The 15,195-nt window shown below is 34.6% G+C and overlaps 1 protein-coding gene across 27 annotated transcripts in view; it reads left to right on the top strand.

Annotated features, from left to right (window-relative positions):
* The window catches only part of NEK1 (NIMA related kinase 1), a 219,775-nt gene that overhangs the window by 17,829 nt on the left and 186,751 nt on the right, over positions 1-15,195 (top strand). For 25 of the 27 annotated variants that reach the window (NR_164630.1, NM_001440625.1, NM_001440624.1 and 22 more), the window contains 6 exons: positions 3,946-4,029; positions 5,241-5,308; positions 6,020-6,106; positions 7,142-7,196; positions 9,206-9,406; positions 13,853-13,913. Coding sequence is in view for 25 of the 27 variants with exons in the window: in NM_001374421.1 (NP_001361350.1) it covers positions 3,946-4,029; positions 5,241-5,308; positions 6,020-6,106; positions 7,142-7,196; positions 9,206-9,406; positions 13,853-13,913 (556 nt within the window). In the remaining 2 variants the exon portion in view is untranslated. Of the gene's footprint in view, positions 1-3,945; positions 4,030-5,240; positions 5,309-6,019; positions 6,107-7,141; positions 7,197-9,205; positions 9,407-13,852; positions 13,914-15,195 lie in introns of those variants that run through there. The other 2 variants (NR_164631.1, XM_047415738.1) reach the window with 2 other exon arrangements.

Here is a 15,195-nt window from a genome sequence, read left to right as displayed (position 1 = left end):
TGGCAAGTCTTCCCAGGCATGTTGTATAGCAGTGTTGAGCTAATAGTTTTAGTGAGAAGTATCCTGAAAATTTTTTTTCTAACAAATAGGTAACATTCTTTGGTTACTTATTTAATCAAAGTGACAAAATATTGTAAAATGTAGATGAAGGAAATAAAATTATAAGGATCTTCACAGTGAGGAACTTTTGTTCAAAAAACATAACCAAATGATAAAATCAGTATAAAGCAGAGAAAATTATTCTGGTAGACATGAAATATCTACTCTTTGAGCAAATTACACAGACAGTAAATGGTAAGCTTACTTTCTTCTGGTTAGAAGTTCCAAGATCAGTTTACCATTCTAATAGAGAAGCCAAGTTCAAGTTTTTCCATTAGTATAATGTTTGGCAATAAAAGCTCATGCCTTTAAAAAATTAATGCATAAACCCATCAAAACTGAGCATACTTTGGGAAAATTCTAATACATTTTATTACACATAGAAATCTCAGTTTTGGAGCAGAGAAGATGAATTGTGGTACTGTTTGGTGCTATAAGGCCGTCTGTACTAATGCAAAATAACATACAACTGTAATTCAGACAACTATATGATAATTACTGTATGGTTCTTGATATAATACAACATAACATTTGAATTTAAAAGTCTTCTGAGCAAGAGAATCCCATTTTCGAAACAGTATTTTGTAAATATTAATATGGAACTAATGTGTGATGAAATAAAATGCACAGATTAGAAGCAGGGTTACAATTTTTTTTTTTTTTTTTTGAGACGGAGTCTCACTCTGTCGCCCAGACAGGAGTGCAGTGGTGCGATCTCGGCTCACTGCAAGCTCCGTCTCCCGGGTTCACGCCATTCTCCTGCCTCAGCCTCCCGCGTAGCTAGGACTACAGGCGCCCGCCATCACGCCTGGCTAATTTTTTTGTATTTTTAGTAAAGACGGGGTTTCACCGTGTTAGCCAGGATGGTCTCGATCTCCTGACCTCGTGATCTGCCCGCCTAGGCCTCCCAAAGTGCTGGGATTACAGGCGTGAGCCACGGCGCCTGACCAGGGTTACAATTTTAAAGGGCTTCCCTCTCCTCCAAGTCCAACCCCATGTGGTCAAACCCTAATGTAGCAAGAGTCTGAACTAGGGTAGACAAAGGGAATGAAAATGTAACATTTATATTTTATAAGCTGTGCCTTTCTTCTCTGCTTTGCTTACATATTCCATCAAAACTGAGCTCAGAAATCACCTCTTCTGTCCAGCTTTATTTTATCACCTCCAGACTGTGTTGCCGCTCCTTCTGTATGCTTTTTCAACTCAGGGCATTACTCCCTTTAATTACTGGTTTACTTACCCATCTCCCCCAGTAGTCTTTGATATGGATCAATAAACAATGGCCCATGAACCAAATTTGGCCCCCTATCTCTGTTAGTTTTATTAGAACACAGCTAAACTTAATTGTTTGCTTATAATCTGTGGTTGCTTTTATGCTATAATGGAAGACTTGAGTTGAGACAGAAACCATCTGGCCTGCAAAACCTAAAATATTTACTGTCTGGCCATTTATAGAATAAATTTGCTGACCCCTGATCTCTGAGCTCTTTCATTAATTTTTTTTTTTTTTTGCTAGTTCCTGCACATATCTGGTACATTGTTGGTACTGAATAAATTTTTGTCAAATTAAGAAGTACAAGTATGGGAAATATGGTAATAGAAGAACACTGTCTGTGAAATGAGACATGAGTGGTTTCTAAGATGTGTTCCATTTCTACTGGTAAACTCCATTTTATCAGTAATACTCAACTTAACATAATTTTCACTTTCTTTTTCCTGACCTCTCCCTTGTTGAATTAATTGCTGTCTTATTGTATATATCTCTGTTAAAAAGCTTATGCAATTATTATAGGTATTTGTGAGTATATTCCTTATCACTGTACGGACTCCTTAGAGAACTGTTTTTGATCTTTATACTTAAAATGCCTTACGTGAGTATAGAAAGGAACTTAACAATCTATGTAATCCTCATTAAATAAATATCTATAGAACTGAACTGAGAGTTTTTTTTTTTTTTAAAGAAAATTGTTTTTTAAAAAAATACTGAAGAGATAGAGTAAAAGGTAAACATGTTACCTTTCATTCCCTCTTCTGCCAATCCACTTCCCTGAGGTAAACACTGTTAACTGATTGGTAGCTATCCTTCTATGCTTCCTTCCTTTATTCCTTCTTTCCTTCCTCAGTGCACACACACAATTACATAGATTCAGGTATGGAATATAAGCATATTTTTTTAAATAGGGGTATACTATGCATACTGTTTTGGAACTTCCTTTTTTCACTTAATAGTACATAAACAGTATACATAGAAGTGCTTCATTCTTGTCAGTGACTGCATAGTATTTCTAGTATAGGGATCATACAATATATTTAATCAGGCCCCTTGATGAACATTCAGGTTGTTTATATTTTTGGGTTCTGGCTAACAGTGCTGTAGTAAATATCTTATATACATGGTTTTATATTTCTGATATTATTTGTAGGATAAATTTGAAATTGAAATTGCTGTTTCAAATGGTATGTGAATTTAAAATTTTCACATATTTTGACAAATGATTATAATTAACCTTTTCACAAACACCTGTGACAAAAAGGCTTCTTTTCCCAACATTCTGACATACAGTATGTATTATTTCATTTTAAGCAAGATAATATAGTATCTTAATTTTTTTTTTTTAATTTGTGAGGGAGTTTAGTACTTTGTATATGCGTTTTTCGGGCATTTTTTCGCCCCGTCATTTGCATCTCCAGTCTTTTGTCCACTTCTTATTTTGTCTGCCAGTACTTTTCTCAGTGATTTGAATAACTTTTGCATCTTAGAGAACTAGCAATCTATCATTTATGTTGCAGGTATTTTCTCAAATTATTATTAAACTTGATTATATGTATTTTGCTCTACAGTTGTTTTAAATTGTATGTAGTCAACTTTATCAGTCTTTTTCGTATGACTTAAGCATTTTATGTCATGTTTTGAAAGTCCTGCTTTAGTCAATTATTACAGATAATTAACCTATGTTTTCTTTTATTATTTTTTTTTAGTTTAAAAATGCCATGTACTTGGAATTGTTTTGATGTTAACAATGAGATAGAAATTAAGCCTTTTTATTTCCAAGTGGCCGTCTCCAGAGAAGAGTGTTTATATATAATAAATGTGGGAAGAGAAAAAAAGTCAGAGATGTCTTCCAAATTTCCAGCTTGATTTTTTTCCTTTTGTGATTTTTATATTTTTAAAAAGCATTATAGAGGTCAGATGCAGTGGCTTGTACCTGTAATCCCAGTACTTTGGGAGGCCAAGGCAGGAGGAACACTTGAATCTCAGGAACTCCTGAGACCAGGAGTTCAAGACCACTAGCCTGGGCAACATAGTGGGACACTGTCTCTGTAAAAAAAACAAAAATAAAAAACTAGCTGCTCGTGGTGGCATGCACCTATAGTCCTAGTCCCTCGGAGGCTGAGGCTGGAGGATCATTTAAACCCAGGAGTTTGAGGCTGAAGTGAACTATGATAACACGACTGCACTCCAGCCTGGGTGATAGAGCAAGACCCTATCCCTAAAGAAGTGGGGGGGGGGCGTTATAGAAAAAAGATGTATTAAAAACAAAGAAGAATCACCTGTTTGTCTTAATATTATAAAATATAAATTATTTGCATTTTCACTCATAAAGTTACTTTCCATGTTTGTTTTGATTTATAAGAGATGACCCAGTAACATCTCTTACATTTTGGATTTAGTATGTGCAGAGCTTGTGTTGACTTGAATATCTATTTAATGTCAGTGCCTACAAAGTTAAAAGAAATTGTAGCCTAAAATATCTTTTTAAGGATTTAGTTCCTCTCATCCCTAAATATTCTTGAATTCTTTTAATGGTCAAAGAGAGGCTTGACAGATCTGATTTTTCTTCCTAGATTTTGGACTGGTTTGTACAGATATGTTTGGCCCTGAAACATGTACATGATAGAAAAATTCTTCATCGAGACATTAAATCTCAGGTATGTTATTCTGTCACTGATAACTTCTGAATGGATAAAGACATGGAACCTTCATTGTTTTGGGCCAAAAATTTTTGAACCTGATTTAGTGTGCATCAGATTATCTGTCTTGTCTCTTCCTTTTTATCCTATTCATCTGCATCCTGTATTAGATCTCCTGCTTGCTTCCCATACTCTAAAAATTACTTTCCTTCCCAGTCTCTGAAACTTACAGAACATTTTTTATAACTCCAAAAAGAACCTCGTACCCATTAGCAGTGAGTTCCCATTCCTCTCCACCTAGACTCTGGTAACCCTTAATCTTTCTGTCTGTGTGGATTGGCCTATTCTGGACATTTTATATAAATGGGTATTATGAAGTATGTGCCTTTTGCCTGTCTGTCTGTCTGTCTGTCTGTCTGTCTATCTATTGTTTTTGAGACGGAGTCTCGCTCTTTTGCCCAGGCTGGAGTGCAGTGGCGTGATTTCAGGCTCACCACAACCTCCGCCTCCCAGGTTCAAGCGATTCTCCTGCCTCAGACCAACGAGTAGCTGGGATTGCAGGCACCTGCCACCATGCCTGGCAATTTTTTTTAGTTTTAGTAGAGATGGGGTTTCACCATGTTGGCCAGGCTGATCTTGAACTCCTGACCTCAAGTGATCTGCCTGCCTTAGCCTTCCAAAGTGCTGGGATTACAGGTGTGAGCCACTGCGCCTGGCCCCTTTTGCCTACTTCTAAGTCATACTATTTGGTTTTTTTTGTTGTTATTGTTGAGTTATGCAAGCCCTTTTCTTGATAAAAGTTTTTTCTCAAATATATGATTTGTAAAAATTTTCTCTCATTTTATGGATTGTCTCTTTTCTTGATGGTGTCCTTTGATGCACAAAAGTTTTTAATTTTGATAGTCCAATTTATCCTTTTAATTTTTTTGCTTGTGCTTTTGACGTCATATCTAAGAAACCATTCCCTAGCCCAATGGCATGAAGATTTATTCCTATGTTTTTCTCTAGGAGTTTTGTATTTTAGTTTTGATATTTAGATCTAGACTCCATTTTGAATTAATTTTTGTTTATGATTTGAGGTAGGGGACTTCATTTATTCTTTTGTATGTGAATATCCAGTTACTCTAGCACAATTTTTTTAACTGGATTTTAAATTTTATGAAAAATGTTGACTTAGAACTGGACTGTAACAATATTTCTAGGGTTTTTTTTTTTCCTGTCTTTTACAGAACATATTTTTAACTAAAGATGGAACAGTACAACTTGGAGATTTTGGAATTGCTAGAGTTCTTAATAGGTAACATGAATTTTAAACTTTGTTTTGATATAATGTTTTCAGCGAACCTTCAATCCATGATGATGTATATGTGATAATTTATGGTATCTTTAAGTACATTCTTTACTGGGATGTTGCTTTATTGGGACATGTTCTGAGAAAGGCATCATTAGGTGATTTTGTCAGTGGGTGAATATTATAGAGTGTACTTATACAAACCTAGATGATAGAGTGTGCTACACAGGCAGGCTGTATGGTGTAGCCTATTGTTTCTGGGCTACAAACCGGTACAGCATGTTCTGTACTGAATACTGTAAGAAATTGTAACACAATGGTATATATTTGTTTAAACATAGAAAAGATACAATATAAAAGATAAAACATGATATACCTTTATGGGACACTTACCATGAATGGAGCTTGCTGGACTGGAAGTTGCTTTCTGTGAGTGAGTGAGTGGTGAGTGAATGTGAAGACCTAGCACATTTCTGTATGCTACTGTAGAGTTTATAAACACTGTACACTTCGGCTATACTAAATTTATTAAAAAATAAAGTAATTGCTCTACAGTGTATGTCAGTCACCGTGTCACTAGGTGATAGGAATTTTTCAGTGTCATTATAATCTTATGGGACCAGCATCATATATGCGATCTGCTGTAGACCAAAAACAACATTAATGTGGCACATGACTGTGTCTTTAACTTCTCCAATAATTTTATTTTTCTTCTAGTACTGTAGAGCTGGCTCGAACTTGCATAGGGACCCCATACTACTTGTCACCTGAAATCTGTGAAAACAAACCTTACAATAATAAAAGGTATTTAAAATGATATTCATTATGTGATGTATTTGCTTTCAATTTTTTTGTTGTCATGTTTATTAACCTTTGGAATACTATTCTAAAATAAATAATACATACATGTAAACACATATGTATATATAAAATGTTGCTAATATATGGTGAGGGGAATTGTAAAAAAGCTATTTGATTATCTTACTGGAAGAACAGCAGAAAGAATCACCTTATTATTTATGTTATAATTGAAAGTAGAGTGCTTTCTTTGGTCTTTTCTTCATGATAGTCACTTCTTATTAAATTATTGCTAGTATTTCTTGAACACACTATAAGCCAGGTACTGTTTCGAGTTCTAGGTATTCTCTTAGTCTTCACAATAATTTTGGGAGATGTAGGTATTAATCATTCCTCCTCTTCTTATAAGGAAACCAAAAGCAGAGAGAGGCAAGGTAACTTCTTTGAAATCCTTGAGTCTAATAAGTGGTGGAATCAGCATCCAAACTAGACATCTGGCTCCCAAGCCCATATTTCTAATCACAGCACTGTAGTCTGGCTAGCAGACTATATAATATGTGCGTAGAAAGAGCAATTCTACCATTAAATTCCAGCTACCCTTTATTTTCTCTCTCTAATTGGAAAATCCCAACCAAGGTAACATTAGTCAGTAGCTGTTGCAAATTTCTTAATACATTTTTAATGTCCATTAAATTAGTATTTTGTTTTATAATTTTTAAAATCATGGTATTTTACAAATAATTGAAAAAAGTTTGAGTTTTATGAAATAAAAATAGAATTTACGTGAATTTTTTTGATATTGTTCTTTTAAATATTAAATTTCTTTAATGAAGCTTCAAAGTAATTGTTGGGGCAACCATTTTCTTTTTCCAATCTGGGACAGCTACTTTTGTCATTTGATTATGGTTGAAATTTTTAGTTTTAAAGGAAATTTTTTCTGGAGCACATATTTTTCCAAAACACTTTTATGCTGTTTGTGTTTCCTTTAAATGAAAAAATTTGAAATACTTAGAGGAAATTTCTCATTTTTATCTTCTCCAGTGACATTTGGGCTCTGGGGTGTGTCCTTTATGAGCTGTGTACACTTAAACATGCTGTAAGTAGAAGTTTCTGAAATACTTTCAAAGTTATGTTAAAAAGCGACTATAATGTTTTTATTATATTTTAAGTTATATTATCTTTCAGGTAACCCTCATCCTAGAAATTCTCCTCTAAGTCCATTTTTGAATTTCTCATTTTTTCTGAAGTATAAATCGATTTCCCTTTGTATATATGCATATCTGGTATATTTGCTATTTTATAATATTTCATATTTTCCAGAAAATTATTTCTAATGACAGAAATAAATTTTGCTATTTTCTTAATGTTAAATTTTGTATGAATTTGATATTTCAGCTTAATAAATTTTACTAGTTTTGTTTTAGTGAATTCTTTCAAAACACCCAGATTGAGTTTGGAATTGAACTAATTTAAAGAATTTCATTCCATATACTCACTGATGACTTTTATCAATTTGAGTAATCATTAATTCAGAGTATTTAAAATTTTTACTTTTGAGACTTTTTTTTGAAATAACATATAACACACTAAAAAGGGGGAGGGTTCTTGTCCTAAGTAGGTTTAATCTTAAAAAAGCAGTTTTTTGAAATGGAAAGTGATTAACATTTTTTACCCACTGATTAAACAATATTGTATTTTCATTACACAAAACTTCAGAAAATATAAATAAGTGAATAAGGTTCATAAGCAGTTCTTCCAGCCAGTATTGACTACCTGTAAAATGAAATTTTTTTTTCTTCCCCAAAAGTTTGATTAGACTTTATAAGAAGTTTTATAACCTGACTTTATTGCTTAATACTATTTGGGGAATATTTTTTCTTGTCATTCTTTTTAATGGTTGCATACCCTTTTACTATATTGCCTTAGTTTTTTTTTTCTTTCTTAAGGAAAAAAGCATAAGCTGACAAAGTAATGTGGGATGGTGGTTATCAGATGCTTATTTGAAATAATTGATCAGTTTTTCTGCAACACAGTTATTTGAGCTTTAAACCATTGGTTTGTGGGTTTTTAAAAAATCTTTGCAACTACATTGTTCTGTCACCATCTCTTCTTTATTTTGGGATTGTTTACTCTTAAGTAGCATGTGTCTTAAGATACATGAAATTCAGTAACTTACCCTTTATGAAGAGCGTGTCAATTGAGAGATAAACGAAAGTGCATTGGAATAGAGAACCACATCTTTTCTGCATTTAGGATTCCTATTTAGGTGTACAGATGTTTCTGTAAGATTGAATTTACTCAAATGACATTTAGGAGAGCTCAACATTTAGTAGAACTTTTGTAATCACTGATGCCTAATTTATAGTACATTTTATTTTATTAATATGTATATTAAGAAGATATCAACATTGTACAATTGTTCTGTAATATTTTAGTGGAGATATCAAAAGCTTAATATTGCCCTCTTTCAAAATGAAATCTTCAGATTTTAAACTGCCCTACCTCTTGTTTTCTTTTTACTTTAAAGTTTATATTGTGTTTAATTCTGACATATATATTCCTATTAAGATATTTTTTATATTGCTGATTTCCATAGCTTTTAGGAGCATCACACGCACACATAATAGTGAGCATTGTCTAAAAGGAAAGTATTAGTAGTTTTATTTATTATATTTTCCCCCAATACTTTTAGTTCTGTAGTTAATTTCTTGTTCTAGTCATTACAACAGAGGCACTAAAAGTCAGGTCTTAAATGAAGACCAGCAGGTTGTTCTTTTTCTGCTTGTGGTTCTTTGGCCCTAATTTTGCTACCTCTGAGGCATAACCTTTCACCATTTGATTATTGTTATAGTTTATGAAACGTTTATTTAATACATCCCATCTTTAAATATTTCGAATAAGTAAAAATTACTCTTATTTTTTGAGGGCTGATATTAATTTACAGATAACCAAGTAAACTTTGCTCTAGAAAACATATTCTAATTATTTGGAAGAGGATTGTGTTTCTATTCTATATTGGTAGGAAAAGAACTATTTCTCATTACCGATATTCTCAGTTTCAATTTATATATGTTTCCTATATGTTATTTATTTTCTGGAATTTAGTTTGAAGCTGGCAGTATGAAAAACCTGGTACTGAAGATAATATCTGGATCTTTTCCACCTGTGTCTTTGCATTATTCCTATGATCTCCGCAGTTTGGTGTCTCAGTTATTTAAAAGAAATCCTAGGGATAGACCATCAGTCAACTCCATATTGGAGAAAGGTTTTATAGCCAAACGCATTGAAAAGTTTCTCTCTCCTCAGGTAAGTTCTTTTTCCTTTAAAATTAAACAGTAGGGTTATGTTGCTTAGCTAAGACATGGCCTCCAGTGTTGAGGAGAACACATCTGGATCTTGGAGGAATGGTGTGCCTTTTTCAAACTACATTAGTGTCACTTTCCTTTCCATGGTCTTTCTTTTTCTTCAGACAGAGTATTGCTCTGTTGTGCAGGCTGGAGTACAATGGCAAAATCATAGCTCACTGCAGCCTCAAACTCCTGGGCTCAAGCAGTCCTTCTGCCTCAGCCTCCTGAGTAGCTGAGACTACAGGTGTGCACCACCACACTCAGCTAATATTAAAAAAAAATTTTTTTTAGAGACAGTCTCATTATGTTATTCAGGCTTGTCTGGAACTCCTGGCCTCAGGTGATCATCCCACCTTGGCCTTCCAAAGTGCTGGGATTATAGGTGTGAACCAGTTCGCCCAGCCTTTCCATTCTTATATAACTGTTTTCTTAATGTTTGCTTTCCAGTTATGCGTTATTCCTCTGTTCTCTGGATTTCTAACTGTAAAATCATTGAGCATTTCTGTGCTTCACTCTCCTCACCTGTGAGCAAAGGGATTATTAAATGTATCTATAAGGTTATTGTGAGAATTAAAAGTGATAATACACATAAAGTGCTTAATGTCTAGCATGTAAGTGCTCAAAATATTTAATGTCTTAAATATCACCTACATATCAATGTATTTTACTAATACAAATTTTTTTTAAATTATTTTTGAGACAGGTTGTAGTTCTGTTGCCCAGGCTGGAATGCAGTATCATGATCATAGCTCACTGCAACTGCCATCTCCTGGGCTCAAGCCATCCTTCCATCTTAGTCTCCCAAGTAGCTGGGACTACAGCCACATGTCACCATGCCCAGTTAATTTTTGTATTTTTTGTAGAGGCAGAGACTCACCATATTGCCCAGGCTGGTCTTGAACTCCTGAGCTCAAGTGATCTGTCCACCTTGGCCTCCCAAAGTGCTAGGATTACAGGCATGAGCCACCACGCCTGGCCTATAAATGTGTTATTAACGTAATTTATATATTATAGTTATATTCTTTTTGATAGGAAATGACTAGAAACCATTTATATGTAGGTATACTAGATTACTGACTCATGATTTCTCCTTTAGTGCACACATGTAGGTGCATAATATTTGTTGAGTTTAACTGAATTTTAATTTCACAAGATTTTTGAAGCAATCTATATCAAATCAATTAGCATAAGTTATTCATAAAAATTTGATCACCTGAGATTGGAATTGTTTTACTTTTCTGGTTTAGTGAGGTCTTTGTTAAATAACTGTTAACCTCTTCAGTAAATAAGATATTCAGCAAAACTATAGTTTTTTTATATTAGTTTTATATGCTCATGGAGAAGAAGGAAGTATCATATATCCTTCTGACTTAACAGAACATGCATGTGACCAAATACTCTTCAGAAAACAGATGTTGATTTTACTGTTACTACCAGGAGAATGCATTAGTATGCAAGAAAGCCAAATAAAATTTGGAGATTAAAGGTTACTTGTATAGGTCATAGCAGCAGCTTCTGAAATGTGGGTGTCTTACAAGACTCCTTTGTTATAAATAACGTTTGCGAGGACACTTTTATTATGTAGCATACTATTGTTTTTTTGGCAGCCACTAGAGAATAAACAATGACTTCATTTAGTCTTGCTGAGGTTTCTTTCTCCCTATACCAGGAGTTGGGACATACTGTCTCAAGGCTGAAGTACTGGAATTTAGCTAGCTAGCAATGAAAGAGAAAATATTCAAGCCTAAAATGTGCCAAACTTATAATATGAAAAGAAACAAGGGTAGATTGTGATTATTCACAAATGGGATATTTGACATTATGTGTTTATTATATACATAGACCCTACTTGTTACTATTTAAGCACCACTTAGATTTCATTCTTCATGAAAACCTTTATCTGCTGTTTCTCAGATTTATTTTCTACTATATATCGCTTGTTGTTTAAAGATAAAAACCTTTATCTGCTGTTCCTCAGATTTATTTTGTACTATATATCTACTTAGGTGAGAAGCTTTGTGATACTTTTTTTTTTTTTTTTGAGATGGAGTCTCACTCTGTCACCCAGGCTAGAGTGCAGTGGTGCAGTCTCAGCTCACTGCAACCTCCACCTCTGGAGCTCAAGCAGTCCTCCCTCCTCAGCCTCCTGAGTAGTTGTGATACCTTTTTTTAAAGGCTATAACTTTGAAACAATTCATGAGCTTTAGTGTAACATATAAACTATTATTTCCAGTATCACTGTAGTGCTCCCTACCATTTTAATACCTCAGTCCTCTCAAGGCCATCAACCGTGGTTGATAGGGCCTAGTTTTCAGTCTTGGGCACTGTGGCAACTTCTTCCTGGATATGGCTTGAAAAACCATGGGTAAGTTCTGATTCATTAGGAATGTAGGGGCTGTCCAGTGGAATGCTCTGTGATGATGAAAATGTTCTATATCTGCATTGTTCAATATTGCAGCCACTAGCCACATGTGGTTAGTAAGCACTTGAAATGTCCTTGGTATAACTGAAAAGCTTCATATATATATACCTTAAATTTTAATTCAAATAGGCGCATGTGGCTAGTGGCTACTCTATTGGAAAACATAACGTAGGGTTTTCAGGATCTTCTTGGATTCTATATGCCCCATCTCTCAATTCACATGAGCATTAACACAGGAAAACAAAGACTTCTCCAACAGTGGAAGAAATGATTAGATTTGGGGACAAGATGGAGATCATAAACCACCTGTTTTCTTCCAAGAAAAAGAAAAGGAAAAAAATGCATTTGTTGAGAAGAGAACACACGTTCACATGGTTGCTCTAAATTGCCTGTGAGCCAGACTTGGCTCTTAACATTTGTCCACTAGTGAAAAGGTTCTCAAACTTTAGCATGCATCAGAATCACCTAGAGGGCATTGCTGAGTCTCACCACAACAGTCTCGGTTTCAGTAATTTTGAAGTGGAGCCTGACAGTTTGCATGTTTACTAAGTTCCAGGTAATGCTGATCCTGCTGGTATGAGACTTTGAGAATTGCTCTAGGGATTTTCTTAATGGGAAAAACAACCCCCTCAGATCATGTATTTTTTTTTGCCTATTGGAGTGTCTGGACCACTGTTAATATAGGAAGATTCTCTCACCAAGAATCAGTTCTCTTGAAAAAAGAGAAAATTCACTTGCCTTTGCCTTCCCCACAAAGTAAGAAAAAAAAGCATAAATCGAGTTAATTCTTTGTTGGTATCATAGTTTTGAAGTGAAGGAGAGAAAAATATGGAGTAAGGAGAAAAAATTACTTGCAGAAAATGTAAATGATTTTTGTTCCTGATTTATAAACATCTATGTTTATAAATGCTGGAGAATATATAATGGAGCGTTTATACTAATATTAAATGGGTACATTTGTTGAATTAAGAATATTTACATATTCAATAACTTAATAAAATTAGTTATAATTTATAATTATGAGCTACAAAACTCATTGGAGATGTTAAGAGGATTCAGAGTAAATTAAAATAACTGAGAGATTACTAGATAATTTCTTTTGATAATGAAGAGATTCTTCAGTAGTTTTGAAGAAAGTGAAGGCTATGGATGCACACAGAATATAGAGATTTTTCCAGATAGGTAGTTGTGTTAAATTGCTGAGAGATGAAATAGGCGAGTAATGTATGGATGCCTACCTTGTTCATTACATTAATTTGAGAAGAAAGCCTCTATCTGGAGAACTAATAAAAATAAATTAGTGCTGGGCACGGTGGCACATACCTTTAATCCCAGGACTTTGGAACACTGAGGAAGGAGAATCACTTGATCCCATACATTCGAGACCAGCCTGAGCAACATAAGGAGACCCCCATCTCCATAAAAAATAAACCAAAAAAAATTTTTTTTAAATCAGCCTGGCATGGTGACACACGCCTGTGGTCCCAACTAATAGGAGGCTGAGATGGGAGGATTGCTTGAGCCTAGGAGGTCAAGGCTGCAGTGAGCCATTGTTGTCTCACTGTACTCCAGCCTGAGCAACAAAGTGAGACCCTGTCTCAAAAACATACACCCACAGATACATACATAAATAAGATTGGGAGGGAGTAAGCATGAGAGGAATTTATTGAATGGATTTTTTTTTATTTTTCTTAATTTTTAAAATAGAGACGAGATCTCACTGTGTTGCCAGGGCTGAACTCTAACTCCTTGCTCAAGCGATCTTCCCCTCAGCCTCCTAAAGTGCTGGGATTTCAGGCATGAACCACGACACCTGGGCTTCTTTTTTTTTTTTTTTTTTTTTTTTAACAACTTGGTTTTAGTACAGTTTATTTGGCAGCATAATTACTACTGAAAAAGGGGAAGATGTATTATAATTAATGGGTAGGTTTTTTATTTTGAAAATGTAACATCTTTTCTAATTTTTTTCTCTTTCAATCTCAGCTTATTGCAGAAGAATTTTGTCTAAAAACATTTTCGAAGTTTGGATCACAGCCTATACCAGGTAAATGAAATCTGATATGAAGCCTTTCATCTGTTTGCAATAATCAACCCTAATTAAACTGGAAATATATGTAGATGTAGTAAGTTGGGATAATTCTAGGATAAATTTAATCCAGAGAAAATGCACCTTAGAATTATTAATGTTTTATGGCAATATACAGTTTCTTATAAATTAATAACATTCTCATTTATTGTTCATTTTATTTAAATGAAATCTGGCTTGAAATCTTATGTCTTTATCAAATGCCTAGCTGATATTTTGAGAACGTTGTTATAGAATTGTAAAATGTCCAATTTTTGTGTAAATCTTTATATAAAATATTATCTTTTTTTTTTTTTTTTTTTTTTGAGATGAAGTTTCGCTCTTGCCCAGGCTGGAGCGCAGTGGCACAATCTCGGCTCACTGCAACCTCCGCTTCCCAGGTTCAAGTGATTCTCTTGCCTCAGCCTCCGAGTAGCTGGGATTACCGGCATCCACCACCAAGCCCAGCTAATTTTTTGTATTTTTAGTAGAGATGGGGTTTCACCATGTTGGCCAGACTGGTCTCAAACTCCCAACCTCAGGTGATCCACCCGCCTCGGCCTCCCAAAGAGCTGAGATTACAGGCGTGAGCCACCGCACCCAGTTGTAAAATATTTTCTTTGAGAAATATTTCATATTCTGAATTTTTTAAATTAAGTGAATGTAAAGTCAAGCACTTCATTAAAGATAGGTTTTCTTTTAAACAATGTGACCAGTGGTATTAGAATCATTGTAAGATTGTGAATATGGTTATATACTATGTATATGTATTTAGATGTATCTATGTGAGAGGGAAATTATTTTTTTCCTGAATAGAATGATTTCAGAATGGATTTCTAAAATCAATGGAAGTTATTTAATACGTGAAGGGTATATTGTTTTTCAAACGTAATTATTTGTACTACTCCATTTTGAATTTGGACAAATTAATAAAAATATGTATCATAAAAATGAGCCCATTTAGCTAGAAGTGGTATGACAGTGCGTTCTCAGGAAGGCAAGCTGCATTTAGCCCGTCTTTTTTTTTTTTTTTGAGATGGAGTCTTGCTCTGTCGCCGGGCTGGAGTGTAGTGGTGCAATCTCAGCTCACTGCAACCTCTGCCTCCCGGGTTCAAGGGATTCACCTGCCTCGGCCTCCCAAGTAGCTGGGAATACAGGTGCCCACCACCACGCCCAGCTAATTTTTTGTATTTTAGTAGAGACAGGGTTTCACCCTGTTGGCCAGGATGGTCTCAATCTCCTGACCTCGTGATCTGCCTGC

This window comes from Homo sapiens, chromosome 4, assembly GCF_000001405.40.
Source record: "Homo sapiens chromosome 4, GRCh38.p14 Primary Assembly".
In the NCBI taxonomy this organism is placed as follows: Eukaryota; Metazoa; Chordata; class Mammalia; order Primates; family Hominidae; genus Homo; species Homo sapiens.
Note: the sequence above shows the minus strand (reverse complement) of the source record. Positions and strands in the feature narration are given on the sequence as shown.